At 39.1% G+C, this 16,969-nt stretch overlaps 1 protein-coding gene and 1 long non-coding RNA gene across 20 annotated transcripts in view, besides 1 other annotated feature; one reads left to right on the top strand and one right to left on the bottom strand.

Moving 5' to 3' along the window:
• Positions 1–5,016, bottom strand: part of NRXN1-DT (NRXN1 divergent transcript) — a 1,375,317-nt gene extending 1,370,301 nt beyond the window's left edge. Inside the window, exon 1 of the long non-coding RNA NR_135237.1 lies at positions 4,601–5,016. This is a non-coding gene — a long non-coding RNA (NRXN1 divergent transcript). The remainder of the gene's footprint in view (positions 1–4,600) is intronic.
• Positions 5,485–16,969, top strand: part of NRXN1 (neurexin 1) — a 1,113,630-nt gene continuing 1,102,145 nt past the window's right edge. For 18 of the 19 annotated variants that reach the window (NM_001330096.2, NM_001330087.2, NM_001330083.2 and 15 more), the window contains exons 1-2: positions 5,485–5,636; positions 8,423–10,115. In NM_001330096.2, coding sequence (NP_001317025.1) covers positions 9,344–10,115 — 772 coding nt within the window. In that variant the 5' untranslated portion in view covers positions 5,485–5,636; positions 8,423–9,343. Of the gene's footprint in view, positions 5,637–8,422; positions 10,116–11,147; positions 11,247–16,969 lie in introns of all 19 variants that reach the window. The other variant, NM_001135659.3, reaches the window with a different exon arrangement.
• Positions 9,587–10,286: an enhancer, noted in NCBI's record as "H3K27ac-H3K4me1 hESC enhancer chr2:51254469-51255168 (GRCh37/hg19 assembly coordinates)". NCBI's record gives its function as "activates a minimal SCP1, AML or CMV promoter by ChIP-STARR-seq in primed H9 embryonic stem cells {active_cell/tissue: H9 hESC(primed)}" and the evidence as "EXISTENCE:reporter gene assay evidence [ECO:0000049][PMID:30033119]".

Genomic DNA, 16,969 nt, shown 5'->3' with positions numbered 1-16,969 from the left:
AGAATTGAATATTTTTAAAAATCCATAAGCCCAACATAAAATCAAATAGGATGTGTTTTAAAAGCAAACCACAAAATGTTTCGAGATGCCATCACAGAAAATTGATTCCACAGATTTCTAGGGGGCAGAAATAGGCTAAAAAGAAGCAAAGATATTATAATAAGACTCTTGAATTTCACTGACATCCATAACTCATCACAAATCCCTTGCTCTTTTCTTAAAAGTCATAGTAAGGAATATTAAATAGCACTGGCTAAATTAAACAGATTAACTAGTTGCAGGCACCCAATAAAAATAAATTGGAAGCCACATTGTGATGAATGAGATAATTCCTTTTCTGGAGCCTAGCAGTTGAGAATGGCAGGCTTGAGTGTAGAGTTAGGTTGTGGGGAAGAAAGTTCTGTTCACAAGAAGAGAAATAAGTCATTAGAGGGGGTAATAATGACAGGCTGAAGTGTGCAACTAAATCACTGATCGAGGAAACATAAACCCTCTGGCAGGGACTTTTCACAGACTTCATCTAGCGACAGCTATTCTTCCTCAGAAAGATTTTTCCTCATTGTGGGGGAAGGAGGGGTGGAAGTAAACACAGAGGAACACACTCAGGTGTAAGTGCTGCCCTAGATTTAAAAACACTGCCCATCAAACACGCTGCAGGGTTTCCACATTGAAGCCTTTCTAGCAGGTGCATCGTTCAAAACTTAACTACTGTTCTCAAGGACCTATCTACGTGCTTTCTCTACTGCTGCTTGATACCTTAATAATTATCATTACATTAATGATTTGCAGCCATTTTAAATCACATTCTACCTTCTGATTACAGAAAATTTACATACTCAAGGAAAAGTAGCCTAATTTTACTATGTTTAAGATTTTTTCAAGTAGTAAGAAAGTATTTAACATACTGAGTTTGCTTATTTCTCCTGAAAGTTACTTAGTAAGCTTAATAGGAAATTATGTGTCTTTTTGTACATGTAAATCCTAGTCTGTTTATTCCATTTTATAGCTGAGTCTCAAACCCTAGACTTGATTACATTTCCTTGCATTTTTAAATTCATCTAGTTGTAAAATAAATTTTATATGGCAGCATGTTCAATATCTATTCTTAAACTTTTGTAACCAGAAAACTCTAATTGGTTCATATAAAGAAAACTAGAGACATTTAACTGCAAACAAAAAATGGATTATATTATTAAAATAAAGTCATGAGCTAAACAATAGAATTCCAATTGTGCAGCACTGATAATGTAATTGGTTAGAGAAATTTGATAGCAATCTGAAATTTAGTTGAATTAGCACGTAATATTTTCCTGATACTGTGATTATTTTAGTAAAAGTGGCTTCATTTTGATCATCTATAGGACAGTAAATAGAAAATCCCCTCAGCGATAAATCTTACTGTTTTTTTTGAGTTGTTTCTCATCTTAAGTGAAAATGCATTTAATGTATATCAACTGGTATTTTTCCTCATTGTTACCATGTGTTTCTTCTTCTACCCCTTATATCAGTAAAGCACCCTTCATAACTGATATCAATATTGGAATTCATAGGTATCTCAAAGCTTCCACTTTACCTTAATGTTAATTGAGAAAGTAGGTGTTTACATTGATTTCCTAATGTTAAAGCACAGGGTCTGATTGCAGCAATAAACACAGAGCATCTCTGCTGCATTCGTTTCTCAGTCAAAAAAAATCTTACTACTTAGTTTCATTTATTTTTAGTGTAGCATTAGTCTCCATGTTAGAATTCTCATTAATATTAATAACCTATGGAAATATACTTGCTTTAGGTGAGCATGCATTTCCATTTTCATTGATGCAAAATGTTTACCAGTTTATGGCATGAGATATTATTTATGTTTCCATATTTGGGTTGCCACAAATTCTCCCAATCAGACATAATCATAAACAAGCACCTTGATTTCGCAGTTACCTCATTTGTTCTGAGTGGTAGCTAGGGGCAGGAGTTGAAATCCTTAACATATTTCTGTAGCCTAAAATTAGTAGATTCCCTAAGGTGATTCAGGAGGAATTAATCCTACTTCCCACCTTCTAGAAAAATACTAGATTGTTCTTACAAATGTTAGATTGCTTCAAATTCAGATCTACAGGAATCACCTCACATCTTGCCCAGAAACAAACAAAAAAGGTAGTAACATTGAAAACACGTCACCTATAATATGTAACAAAGTACATGAATATCATATATTTCATACAGTATTAGTCATTAAGGAATGTTATGGCAAAATTCTGGAGTTGACTGTTTAGTTTCCTAGACTCCTCTTGATGAAAGTCTTAGAAAGGAAAAGGAATGAACAATTACGGGCATCTGCATTCTGCCAAGCACTTTGCTACGTATATCTGATGATCCGTTCAAAGTCAGTGTAGCAAGGGGGTTAAGATTACAGAATTGAGTTTGGATTTTTCCTCACACTGTTGCTTGCTTACTAGACTTTGACTATCTGGACTAATCTCTCTATGCTTCACTTTTTCTCATTGGTAAAATGAGTGAAATCCTAGAACCTACCTCTTAGAGTTGCTGTGAGGTTAGAATAAGTTAATGTAAGTAAAGCACTTGGAGCACTGTTTGGCGAGGAGTAGGCACAAAATTAACATTCAATGTTGACATTATCTCCACCAAGTCATATAAATGGAGATGCCATTATCTTTATTTTACTGATGACAAAACTGCCACTTAGAGAGTTGAAGTAATTTATGGAGAAACAACAGAAAAACTCATACTTTAAAATAAATTAACAACTTTTATCATTAAATTATGTTGTGATATTTGCATTCTAAGCTACAAACTGATACTTTTCTCTATGCATATTTACTGAAAAAAAAAAGATCCTGGGGCTGTCCACTTCCTTGGACTACATACAGTAAGTACCTTAAACCTGATTGCAAAGGGGATTACTCCAATACATCATCTATTCCTTCAGTTTATATAGTTTGTGTGTGTGTGTCAGGGAGGCAGTGGTGAAGAGATGTGGGAACACTGGTCTTTTTAATCTGAAAATTCACACATGCAGCATAAGAATGTCAACATTTTTTTTAAATCAAAACACCACAGAAGACATCTCAAGGAAAACCTTGATTCAGTGGAAACACTGTGTAGCCCAATTAAAGATAAAATAAAAATTCACAAAGACGAAATGAAATAAAGTAGGAAATTGTTCAGATCACATGCACTGGTGGTAAATAATGAGTTTTTATGAATCCAGGTAAAAGGCAGTGCTTTGACTCTTAAGAGTGCCTCTAGCACTACCATAATGTTCACTGATGCATGTTCACACCAGATCTTAAGAGCATCATGGAACCAAGTTAGACTTGATTTTTGAAAGTGGGCTGTCCATTCCACTTACTTTTGCAATAAGCTTTAGCTCTATACTAAACACATCGCGGTGTACCTTCTGTACTATTTGTCCTATAACCTAATGGTAGGAAAAATTGAAAAAGGCCCTGAATTAACTAGACTGTTTTTTTGTTTCAAGTTCACTGAATGAATAATTTAGATAAGTAATTTTCTGAGTCTTAGTTTTACATCATTTAAAATTAAATTTTTGTTTTAAGAATCATGTTAACAGCTATTATTTCATTACATTCCCAAAGCAATCTTATGGAATAAGCTGACAATGACTAATACCTCTATTTTATAGTCAAAGAATTCGAGTTTCAGAGAAATTCCTTCCATTGAGTCAAACAGAACACAGAGTGGGTTGTAGTTGATAAATATAGCCAAAATTCCACAATTTGGAATCCACAATTCCAAATATGTTATGTTTATTTATTCATTTCATCTTCACAACATCAAACACATGAAGAGGGAGCTATTATTATATCCATTTTACAGATGAGGTGACTGAGGCAGCATAAGATTAAGTATCTTGCTGAGGTTACAACTAATAAATGGCAGAGATTGAATTGAAGCTCAGACAATCTATTTCCCAAACATGTAACCACTTGACAAAACTGCCTCTCTAAGGGCGATAAACATATTAAAACCTGTGATACCCGCCTTCAGGTTATTTAGACCCTTTTACAAAAGTAGTGAAAGTATAAATCGGCTTATCATAGGAATGAGTTCTAGTTTTTTGGAAGAATATACATATTGTAATTGTAATATATATTATTTTGATGTTCCCAAATTTATCTAGTTCTTAAATTCTTGCTCTATAGGGCCTGGAGGCCAAAAATAGTCTTGCCTTACAGTATTTGAGGTTCAGACTATTAGGTCTGTGGCGTTGCAATAAAAATGTCTGTATCTGCTCCAAAACTAACCCAGGCTAGGAATATACAGGAATAGGAATTTAAATGTCCATAGGGTGCAAACCATAATTTAAAGCCACAGACCCCGAACTCCTCTACCACCTAATCTGTAAGCTCCCTTAGATTTAACCCCTTTCTCACCAAACCCAGCAATGCCTATTGGGCATGCCCAGTTGCATGGTTAGAGCCTCACACCCAGTTTTACTTTCACCAGGTTTTACCAGCTGCAAAAGGGAGGAGGAGACGGAGGGAAGAGTTAAACAGGTAGAAAACTTGGTTCAAGACAGAGCACAGAAGGCTGGAGAATGACGACAGGCTGCAGTAAAAAGCACCTTGTCAGACACAGTTGATCGTCGTCTGCAAGTTGGCATCTTACCCTGGTGGGTTCCTTTTACATCTTTTTGGCACAGCCTAGGCAAGTCATGAAGATTTGTTGTGATTACCCAAGGCAGAGCCACAGTAAGGGGTGGGGCAAGGGACATCGGATCTAGAAGAATGCCAGTGCCTGTGTGAGTCTTGCTTGCCCCTGCATTCCTCGAAAAGCTGCAGCTTCTTTTCAAGGGTTCCGAGCAGGAGACCAAGGTGCACAAGTAAAGCCAGAGCTCATCATAATTATCGACTCCTTGGCCCCTTCTCTTTGACTGCTGGACCCTTTCCTGGCACCCTCTCAGGTATCCCCGCCCAATCACTACCAAACCCCGGAGAAGTGGAATCTCCATACAGCTTTCCATGGGTCTAGCAGGGGCCTGGGCATGCTCAGTAGGCTACGTGGTTCTCTGGTTCGTGTTCGTTCGTTCTCTCTCTCTCTCTCTCTCTCTCTCTCTCTCTCTCTCTCTCTTTCTTTCTTTCCGATGGGGAAGAGAGGGTGGTGACAAGTTAGAAGCGCTTGCGGAAGGTCCCCGCCCCCAGGATCAGGCTCCCCCTGCAAGGGGACGATGCAAAGGTAAAAGCACCTCGCTCCGCAGCATCCAGACCTGGAGGGGCTGCGACCACGGGCCGAGCCCACCCATTCCCCAGCCAAAGGACGGGCCCGCCGCTCTCCATGGTACTGCGGAGAGCTCAGCTCCGCCCTTCTCTTTCAGAAGGACAGCACCCGGCGTCACGTAACCCAGCCTTCTCAGGCTCCACCACCGCCTTTTCCTTCCCAGCTCTTTCCCTCTCCTCCCCCTCCTCCTCCTTCTCCTCCTCCTCCTCCTCCTGCTCCCCTCCGTTGCCTGTTCTCCCCTCCCGCACTCCTGGAGATAGACGCTCAAGCCTGACGCCTCTGAAAAGGCAGCAGCAGTCGCCTTATCCATAGACCTCAGGAAATTCGCTTTGACCGATGCATGCTTCAGGCTCTGGCTCGAGCTGAGGGGAATAACCGGGCAGGTAAAGAAGCTCAATTTGGGTTGGGGGGAGGGGATGGGGCGAGGCAAGCTGAAGAAGGATATCTTTCCCCATTGTAACTGAGCCAGGATCTGCCACAAATACACAGGGAAAGATGGGTGGTGGGAGGGTGGAGGAGTGTAGATCTTGGTTGTTTTGCATGAAGCCTTTTAAATAGATGGCAAGAAGAGATGGTGGAACTGGGGTAGTAACTTAAAGGCTGAATGCAGTGATGTATTAGCAAAAGAAAGAAAATAAGAGACAGGCTAGATATCAAAGCAATAAAATATCTCTCCATATATTTCCTTCCCTACCTCATCAGCCCCACACTGTGCCCATCGTTAATTTGTGCAGTAGACCCCGAGCTCCAAGAAACTGCACTGGTATTAGAGATGGAGCTTAGAGACTGGGCGGGAAAGCCAGAGAGAATTTTGGCTGTGCATTGGTATTGAGAGACTTTGCAAAAGCCAGGGGTGAAATAATAAGCACTTCTAAAATTTCTCTCAGAGATTTCATGTTCTTTATGAAGATATATATATATATTGAAGGGTGCATGGAAAGGTGTAGGTGTGTATGTGTGTGTGATATCAGAAACATTAAAATATGCAACTGCAGCCGATGAGCGTACTGTATTGATCCTCCTAGTGACTTGGGATGAATTTGATTCTAGAAATGAAAGAAAAGATTAATGATGCTGTTAGTCTGCTTTTGAATTAGAGCGCTTCTTCTTTTGGCTGCAGTAAGGATGTTTTTCAGATCCCTTTATTTCATCCTCTAATTTGTGAACTGGCCAGGTCTTTCTGGCACCTAGAGAGAATCCTCTTTTCTCCATATAAATACAGATACTCGCTCACATACAATGAGCTTCCTCCAAGAACTGGGAAAACCAGTTAACCTCCCTGTGATAAGAATGTATATATATCTATATGTACATATATATTGCTCTACGGTTTTTCTCTCTTCCACCATCCCTTAAAATTGTCAAGGTGTGCATTAGTGGAGGAGGGCAGGAGGGACGGGAGAAAAAAGGTTATGTGATCAATGTAACATTAATTAATACAATAATTGGCTCCAACAGAGTTACACACACAAGAAAAAAAAAAAGGTTTTCTAACACATGAGCTTGAGAAAGGGTTCAAAGCACTACTCTTGATCATGATATTCCAGATTTATTTTGCAAATGACTGAAAATTTAGCAGATTCCTGAGTCCACTTAAAATATGAAAGTATACTGAATAATATGCTATTTCAGATGATTTGACGAGCCTCTTTCCTCGGGTTTGATATAGGAGAAGACAAGATATGACTGGTGATTGCTGATGGTGTGGAATGTATCAGCCATAATAAATAAGCAACTGAGATTTTTATTTCCTTTTGCTAGTGGGCAGTGTGTATGTGCGCACACCCACACTGTGTGTGTGTGTGTGTGTGTGTGTGTGTGTGTGTGTTGAAAGAGAGAGAACCAGTCATCAATTTCATCTGGGAGGAACTTGAAGTGGGATACCCTAGCTTGGTGGCTCTCAGCTGACACCTGTGGGGATTGCTCTGTACTGAAGAGAAATGCTCTCAGCTCCCCCCATGGAGAAGCAGCAGCACAATGCGGTGCCATAAATTACTGCTAGTTTCAGCTTGTAAGGGAAAAAAAGTGTTAATTGGGTAGTGAGCTTCTACATCCAGACAATAAATTTGGGGTGTGTGTGTGCATGTGTGTATGGTGTATATATATTGCAGTGTGTGTGTTTGCAAGAGGTGGGGAATATAAGAAATAGTGAGAAAAATAATGCACTTCCTTGACATGAACAGATTATACATTTGTAATTTTTTTCAAAAGGTAAGAGTAATTTTTTGGTTAAAAAATGACTTAGGAAAAAAATCAGTGATTATGATTTCTGTACCATTTCAAGAACCTGTCAGATTAGAGTTGAATAAAGAGAAGTGATTTAATAGTATAGTGAGTGATTCAAAGGTACGGTTTTAAATTCTAGCATCCTGGAGCCACTGCAGCTGAGATGACATACATGCCAACAGCTCTTCTGACCACACAAATTGTGAGGGCTGACAGCAAGATACAGACTTCAGGAGGAGTTAGATCTACACTTTTAGGCAAAATATTAAATACTTTATGCACCTTTAGAGAAGTTAATATTAGGGCAATTGAGACAATGCCAAAAACATAAATCTGGCTCCAATTAGTGGTTTTCTTTTACAACAGATTATTCATTAATATAAAGGAGAACTATACTTGTGTGAAATTTTGCAAGAGACTATCAAGAAACCATCAATATTCCTTCTAAGAAAAATAAAATGGCAGGAATGCTATACAAGTCTAAGCTGGCAGCTTCCTGCCAACAGTTTAATCTAATTTGCCAATTGTAAAATCTCTTAACTGAGATTTGAATAGGTTGTATTTTTACTGTCCACAGAACAAGCACACAACATAGGTAGAAATCCTTAAAAGCATTTGTTCTCCCCTCACATATTTTAAAAATTAAACTATCTTGCGAAAAGAAAAAGATAACCATAATCAAATTTCTCTTTAAAACTTCGGGTTACCAACTAACAGTTATAATAAACTACAAGGGTGTCATGGCTGACTGTAAAAGTGTCATATTAACTATTAGAAAATGTTAGGACTTACTTGTAGTGAGGATAACAAAAGCTCCATACAAGAAGGTTAACTCTTTGCCTTACTAATAGGACCAGGTCTACACTTGTGTTATGAGCTGAATAATGATTTATATAATACTATATTGACTTTAGACCTTAATTTTGACTTTAATTCTCTGCAGATGTCTGAGTCCTTAAAAAAGACAAGATAAAACCAAAATGCATCACCAACACACAACCAATTGATGTGCTGGCATCTTAGCTTGGCCCTGCAGAGGCAGAGAGAAAAGAAGAGGAGCTGTTGCGATTTCCACATCTAACAGCTTCTGGCTATTTCGCAACTGCTGGGTTTGAGTCCTACTGTTGCCGTGGCTGAAAAGAGAAGTAAAATCCAACTTGTGAGACCACGCACAAGGAATTAGGCTTTGGCTGCAGCGGTGCTGAAGCCCATGCTATGACAGAAGAAGCAGGCCTTTGAAGCTATCCTCGGGTTAAGAAATGGTGCCCTAAAGAGGCAAGCATCCCTTTCTCCGTTCTGCTGTAAGACACCACATCTGAAGGAGACAGACTTGAGGCATTCACAAGCATCCAAGGATACTGGCTCACTGCTGGCTTCCTGTACTTTCTTGAGAAAAGTGTTTTCTTTTTACTGACTCTCACTGCTTCCTTTTGGCCTGGTACCACTGGTGGAACCTGGCAGATAATGGGATTTGAGGAGTTAAGTATCTGTTGACACTGCAGATACTCTTAAATTAGTTAATCAGACTCAAATGGGTCAGTGCTTTCCCTTGATCTTTTGTTGAAGCCTTTTCCAGAACGTTGTCTCCAAAGTGCATCCTCCCTTTGGTCTGGAAGTTCTGTGGCTACCCTGTACCACTGGGGTCAACGTTTTCCAGTTGGAAGAGGACTACAGGGAGAGAGGGCGGGGTTATTGGAAGAAGAAGAAGAAAAAAAGAACTAGATAAAGGAGGGCACATCCCTCTCACTCCCGCCTTTCCCCTTACCTTTCTGTCTCTCGGGACCCTTATTTCTTCGTCACGGTGTCCAGGACCATTTTGACCCTGTCGGCCCCGGCACCCCCCCGCCGCACCCCAGCCCCGAGCATGGGGACGGCGCTGCTCCAGCGCGGGGGCTGTTTTCTTCTGTGCCTCTCGCTGCTGCTCCTGGGCTGCTGGGCGGAGCTGGGCAGCGGGCTGGAGTTTCCGGGCGCCGAGGGCCAATGGACGCGCTTCCCCAAGTGGAACGCCTGCTGCGAGAGCGAGATGAGCTTCCAGCTCAAGACTCGCAGCGCCCGCGGCCTCGTGCTCTACTTCGACGACGAGGGCTTCTGCGACTTCCTGGAGCTGATTCTGACGCGCGGCGGCCGCCTGCAGCTCAGCTTCTCCATCTTCTGCGCTGAGCCTGCGACGCTCCTGGCCGACACGCCGGTTAACGACGGCGCCTGGCACAGCGTGCGCATCCGCCGCCAGTTCCGCAACACCACGCTCTTCATCGACCAGGTGGAGGCCAAGTGGGTGGAGGTCAAGTCCAAGCGCAGGGACATGACGGTGTTCAGCGGCCTTTTCGTCGGGGGGCTGCCCCCGGAACTGCGCGCCGCGGCGCTCAAGCTCACCCTGGCCTCGGTGAGGGAGCGGGAGCCCTTCAAGGGGTGGATTCGTGACGTGAGGGTCAACTCCTCGCAGGTCCTGCCCGTGGACAGCGGCGAGGTGAAGCTGGACGATGAGCCGCCCAACAGCGGCGGGGGAAGCCCGTGCGAGGCGGGCGAGGAGGGCGAGGGCGGGGTGTGCCTCAACGGAGGTGTGTGCTCCGTGGTGGACGACCAGGCCGTGTGCGACTGCTCGCGAACCGGCTTCCGCGGCAAGGACTGCAGCCAAGGTAAGGCCCGACGCCCGACCCACGGGGGCCGGGGCCTGGGCGGGGCTCGGGGAGGAGGGGACCGGGCTGGTGCATGGGGTCTTCCTAATCTTGGCAAACGTGTGGCAGTTCGCTTCGAGGGAAGGACCTTGTTTCTGGGGGACTCTCTACCTTACCACCTCCACAGCTTCTCCCTTGACATCCTCCTAAGGATTGGCAGCCCCCATATCCAAGTTTGAGTTCCTTCTGGAGACCTTTCTACCAACACTACTCCCTTCCAAGTGGCAAATACAATGGCCTCTTCTTATTCCTCGGGTTCTTTGGCAGGTTGGGCCCTATATTGGGCCGCGGCCCACCTATATGACCACTGTACTTGTCTCTACCACTTCTAAATCTGTAACACACAGACTTTGCCCTTAAGATGCAAACAAGCATCTAGAAGATTGGGCATGTGTTTGATGAGAAATGAAGCACAGGAGAGGTATACCACGGCCGTGGTTGAGAATCCCCACGTGGTTCTGGTCACTCGTGGTAAAGGACGAGAAAGACAGGGTTCACGGGCAGTGCTCTGCCTTTTGCAGATAGAGCGGTAAAAACCTGCTTTTCGTTGTGGAAAAAGGGAAAGAGAGGATGTGAAGCGTTTCTTCATTAGCAGGAGGCTTTTTGGAATAATGTTGGTTTCCACTGTTATATCCAAGTCCAACATTTGTGAAATTTAAGTAAAATTTTGTCATTTATGCGGTTTCTTGAAGTGTGAGGTCAGCTGACGTTTAAAAATGTTAGAGATTAAATAAGATTTCTTAATTAACAAATGCCTTATAAAGAGAAATAAAGTAGTAGAGAAATTTAGATGTTGCTGGATTGGGAAGCTTCTGCAGACTAATAAACAGGGATGCATGTAAGGGATTGCAAGAGATTTTCTAAGGATATTCGGCTAATGACATTTATCTGGGTAGTGGAGGCCAAGTTGTAATTTCTGTGGTTCTTGGGGCTTAAAACAGTGTGGCATTAAACTACAAAAGTCATACCTAAGTTCTCTTTTCTCCTCTTTAGAAATAAAATTCGGTCTTCAGTGTGTTTTGCCGGTGCTGTTACATGACAATGACCAAGGAAAATACTGTTGTATAAATACAGCAAAGCCTCTAACAGAAAGTGAGTGAGTGGTGTGAAAAAGACGAATCAGTGGCTAAGTAGGAGATGTCAGGATTTAAAGTAGATAGCTTATGGGTCAAAGCAAGGCAATCAACACATGGATAAATGGCATTTGTGGCTGAAATGGGTGAAAAAAGGTGAATTATTAAATCTGATTTCGAAAGCTATAGGGACAAAAGCTCTGTGTGGCTGCGTTTTATTGTATAATGTCTTTGATTTTTGCTGACAGTGCTAAGGGGAACTAGCCTTTGTAAATCTTATTAGAGTTGGCAGTTCTCTCTCACTTGACTTTAAGAGAAATGAAGACTTGATAAGATTTGTAATTGTTTAAACAGCAAGGAGAGTTAGTTAGGAAGAAAAAAAACTGGTCTTTAGGAGACTTCTGTAGCCTTCACAGGATTAGGAGGAGGGGAAGAAAGAAAGGGCTATTTTGTTGCGCTCTGTCTTCATGTGGGTTTTTGTTTTTCATTATATTTTGGCTTAGGTAATTATAGAAAACTGTGTATTCCATGGCCTATACAGCACTTCAGCTTTAACAGTACATTTCTATGGTTATGAGAGCAGGCTTTACAGTTATGTTTTACAAAATAAAAAAGATAGTTTTTTTCTTCTAGCAAATCTACTTGTGAATCATGAATAATATGCTAGGTAGATATGATAATTTCCATACTGTAATTTGAAGTTGCATACTTTTGCACTGATTAATAGAAACAAATTTTAAAATGAACATTATTTTATGGGAAAATTGTCTTAAGTATCCTAATGCCACTTTAAAATACAGAGAAGGCAATTTAATGAAGGACCCATGAAATATAGCTTCCTTCCTTAAATTAGGAAACAAATATGACACAATGACAGCTTGTACTGTGTGGGAGGGTGTTTTAAATGAAAATTTTTATTTTTCTATGCATTTTTAATGTAGGGATTCAGAGATCATGCATAATCAGGAACAGTTAAGAGTGGAAAAAGTAATTTGTTAAAGAGAAGCAGAATTAGATGTATCTGAAATGCATTTTATTTTGCAAATGGATAGCTCTTTCTATAAGATAAAGAATTTGGAATTACCAAGATGCATAATTGAACAGTGTAGTGCCTGGTACATAGGATAATTCAACTCAGAATAGCAAATCCATTAGGATTCTTCTGAAGCATTGAGTCACTTTGAAAATTTGAACTGAAAATGGAGTGCAAAAGATCACCACGAAACGTAGAAGGAAAACAAAAGATTGGATTCTTTTGAGTATCACAGAATTGGGAGATGGAGTGATAAAGGCAGAGTCAGTCTTCCTAGAAGGATTGGCTCCATTTTGCTTATTTTCCCTATTTCATGTGTGTCAAGTGACTATTGAATAATTAATTGAGAATGGATGATTCTCCCAATACAGATCATGTATTAATGGCTAGGGATAGATGATTTCTATTCAGATGAAATATCAACAAAGCTCTGCCTGTAGCCAGTATGTACATTGTCTGCCATGTTCTTCATAAAAACTAATTTTAAAATAAATAAGTTCACTTCATTAAGAGAAAATTTAGGGAAAAAAACAGACAAGTAAATATTAAACAAATTCAGTTTATCTCTGGTCCAAACTATAATACTTTTAAAATTTTAACACCATTTAACTGCCTTCATGTTTAAAATACAATAAGAACTACTAAAAAGTAAGACTATAATAAGATAATAAAAATATTATCTCTCCCCCAACCTCCAGCCAAGAGTGCCTTGAAACAACTTATGCACCTATGAATTTCCAGAATATTTTTATTGAATGAGCTCAATTTCATCCTGGCTTTGTGTTTGAGCCTAGCAAGTTTTATTTATTTATGTATTGTTAGAGAATCCAGGAAAGGTTATGTGTGATGACCAGGTTAGTGGCAGAACCTGGGTAAGAGCATAAACACTTTTATTTGTTCCCAAGCCCTTTTTCTTGACGTCTGGCAAATAAGATTTCCAGTTCATTCGGGTTGAGATTATTTTCAGGTTCAGGTGTTATATTCAAGGGAAAAAAAAACGTAAAAATGGCTGATAGAACAAAACTAATTTATGCATCACTTATGTTCTTTGACCCTGAGCGTCAGCCTCAGAACTCAACTAAGCAAAAATGTCACCTTTCCTGAGTGATGAATGCTTACAGGGTACATAGCTTTTTTATATTCATTTCATCTAAGTGCCTGGACCGTTGTTATGGTCTCATCTAAATGACCTTGAACATTATTTCTACTTAAGAGCACTCATAGATCCCTAGCAACTTGAAAGAATTAGTGAATTTCATAGCTATCCAGTTTAAAAACAAGAATAACAAGGATAATCAATAAGAAATTAAGTTATAATTCTCATGATTTCCAGATCCCCAGGTCTCGTGCATTTTAGAGTCATGTATATTAAAATCCCACATTGGACTGTTTTCACTTTTTTTTGCATGTTCTCTATTTAAATGGCCATAAACACGTATGGCTTATGCTTCCTGATTGTTTAATGTCACTGAACATGTCAGTATGATACATGTGACTTAAGAAAGCTCCTGCTTTCCATTACTTTGTGAATGTGACCAGATAGGCAACCACATTCACTCATTCATTCATTTGTTCATTCATTCATTTGTTTATTAATTTCTTTATTCAGCAAGTACTGATTGTTTTGTGTACCAGAGTACTAGGCTTAAGCAATAAAATGGTAGTGCAGAAATAATTATTACTTTCATAGACCTCATATTCTAGTGAGAAGGCATATTGACTTTAAAAAAATGAAGCTTAAAACTGTGGTATGTATTTTGAAGGATGGGTGCATGATACTATGAAAACTTAAAATAGTGTCAGCTGACGTAATAAAAAGTGATTATTAAACTGAAATCTGAAAAAGTGAGAAAGAATTAACCAAATTAAGGCAGAGGAAAAGTATTAATCAGGTAAAGCCCAGAGGAACAGAATTCTGATGCAGGAGATGGCACAGCATGTGCCACTGAGAGAATGCCTTAAGCATGGAGCTCTAACTCCCTACTTGAGAGGAGTGGGGTCAGGCAGTGCACAACCTTCTGGACCATGTCAAGTATTTTTGTCTTTACTGTAAAAGTGATAAAATAGTAATGCAAAGAGTGTAGTGTGGATGGTAGGGAGGAAGATGGCATTATCACATTTATATTTCCAAAATGTCACTCTAGCTACAGTGTAGAGAACAGATTGAAAGGGGGCCAGGGAGAAAGAGGAAACATTTTCTGTTTGTCAGTCAACATCATTTGTTAAGCACCCACAGTAAGCTGTAGATTAAACTAGGGGAAAAATACAATTCTTTCTTGAAGGAAGTTAAAGTCATCATGGGTTTGGTTAGGTGTTGAAATGTAAGGCCATTGATTGTTCAGAACACTTTGGTTCTACCTATGAAAAGCATTACCTGAACCCTTTATGTGGATTGTACTGTGGTTTCCTGCAGATACACCCATTGAATTTATGGGTCTTTGGAACCCAGTGGCAGTGCCACACTTTATAGCATACCCCAAGTACAGTGCCATACTTTATAGTATACCCCCAAGTACATGTTCTAGTGACAAAATATATTTGTTGTTTGAATCAACATTGTAACTACTACAATAAAGGAAAATATTTTGTAGGTGCTTGTAATCTTTGTAAGATTGTTTTCATTTAAGTAGTTATTATATAAGTAGATAGTGGTTAAAAATGATTCAGAGATTTTGCCAGAGTTTTGTTTGAAGTCTGCCATTGTAGGAAAAGGTGGATCACCTGTATTGAGAAGGCTCTGAGTCACAGAAACTCATCAATAGTTTTGATCTAGAGGAAGCATTCTGGGAAACTCTTAAAGTATGACAGTGAAAGGCATCTGTTTATTAAAAAGTTTATTTTGACTATGAGGTAATAATAAAAACTGAGTTACTATTCCAAAATGCCACAAATAAAGTCAAATATATTATTTTGAGATTTTGTTTTCCTATTCTGAGATGCAGTTGTAGTGCAGAGGTTAAATTATACAGACTCTTGGGCCAGACTGCCTGGTTTCAAGTGGCAAACTCAAACTTTCTATTCCTCAATTGTGTTATCTGTGAAATTGGGATGAGAATACTGCTTACTTCTTAGTGCTCTTAAGAAAATGAAGCAGGTGACTTCATGTGAATCTCTTAGATTAGTGCCTGGCACATAGTAAGCATTTTGTAAGTGTCCACGTGTTACTTTTGTTACTATTACCTCACTGACTATTTCCACCGACACTATTTTCTTTAGGGGTACTTTCAAGCAAAATTTAAATGTATAGAACTTCTTCTTGTCTAAAAGGAATTTTAGTATAATAATGATCCATTACCTGCCTAAAGTTTCAGTTTATAAAGACAACGAGCCTCTGTTTCTGTTGCATGCAGCTGTGTTCTAATGTTACCCATGTCTAGCTGTTACTCAAAATATGTTAAAAAATCACATTCTGAGAATTTTGTGATTTAGCAAGCACTTAACACAAAAGTATATGTAGAAACTATGCTTTCACTTTCCACATAAACTAATACCTGTATTCCATCCCAATTTTATATTTAAGCAGTGATTTTTACTATATTAATAGCTTATTGAAGATACCATTTACTTTGAAGTTTATAGTACATTGTCTATCAAATAGGAAAAGTTTTAATAGTTTTAGTATAAAAAAGATTTATTGAATTTATAACTTGTCTTTGAGACTCTCTTATACATTAAAGTTATTTACACATATGCTGCAGATAAGATAGGTAATATATTTGGCTTTAAAAGTTCAAGCAAGCTGTTATTTTAGTTATCATAAGTAGGTTATATTTTTCAGCATAAAATTGTGTATATATATATATATGTATACATGTCACTGATATGTTCAGTTTTGGATATCATTAAATGTGAATTAAATTGATTACTAAAAGTATAGTTATCCTGATTGACTATAGAAAGAACTGGCACTGTATAATATTTCTGTCATTCTTAGCTACATTATGAAAACCAGGGCTCTGAGACACATTAGTACCTGAAAATAGTCGTTGACCACATTCTATACTCCTTCCTCAGCTACACTGGTTGCAGAATTAACTCCTATAAATATGTACTGAAAATTAGGCCTTACAATAGATATTCAGGTTTCATTTTATTACAGGGTTAATAAACCTATTAGAAGTTGCTGTGCAAACTGTGCTCTCAAAAAGTATATAAGCTATTTGATGTAATTCAGAATAAATTATTTTTATATTTTTTAAAGTTTTTTGGTTTATTAAAAAACAGTATGCAAAAATCTTATACTTTTTTTGTTGTGTACTTCTCTATAATTTTGTGGCCCAGTTCCTTTTCTTTTATTCATTATTCATAAGTATAGGAATAGGTAAATTTACACGGCCTTTGCTGAATACGTAAATCTTAAAATGTTCTAATTAGCTTTGGAAAACAAAATTTTGGCCAGTTGCTTTAGAGCTGTTCAGAAAATTGCAAGGCTTTTTGTTTTTTCTCCTGAGCATGGATTCCATGTAGTTCTACTTGAATACTGGAATGAGTACCATGCTCTCTCAGATTCCTTTCTTGCCACATGATTATTTGTATTTTGTGTGTAAACAGAACATGGTTTGGAATCTGAAGAACTAAATTCCAGGTGGGACTTTACATCTTAATATATGTTAAAAGTAAAATAACACCATCAATGTTCTGTTTCATTTTCTAAGGTTGCGAATTGGGAAACCACCTAATCAGACTACTAATATATTGTGAACTAATGC

The sequence above is a fragment of the Homo sapiens genome, chromosome 2 (genome assembly GCF_000001405.40).
Source record: "Homo sapiens chromosome 2, GRCh38.p14 Primary Assembly".
In the NCBI taxonomy this organism is placed as follows: domain Eukaryota; kingdom Metazoa; phylum Chordata; class Mammalia; order Primates; family Hominidae; genus Homo; species Homo sapiens.
The sequence above is the reverse complement of the archived record's forward strand: the minus strand, read 5'-3'. Positions and strand labels throughout refer to the sequence as shown.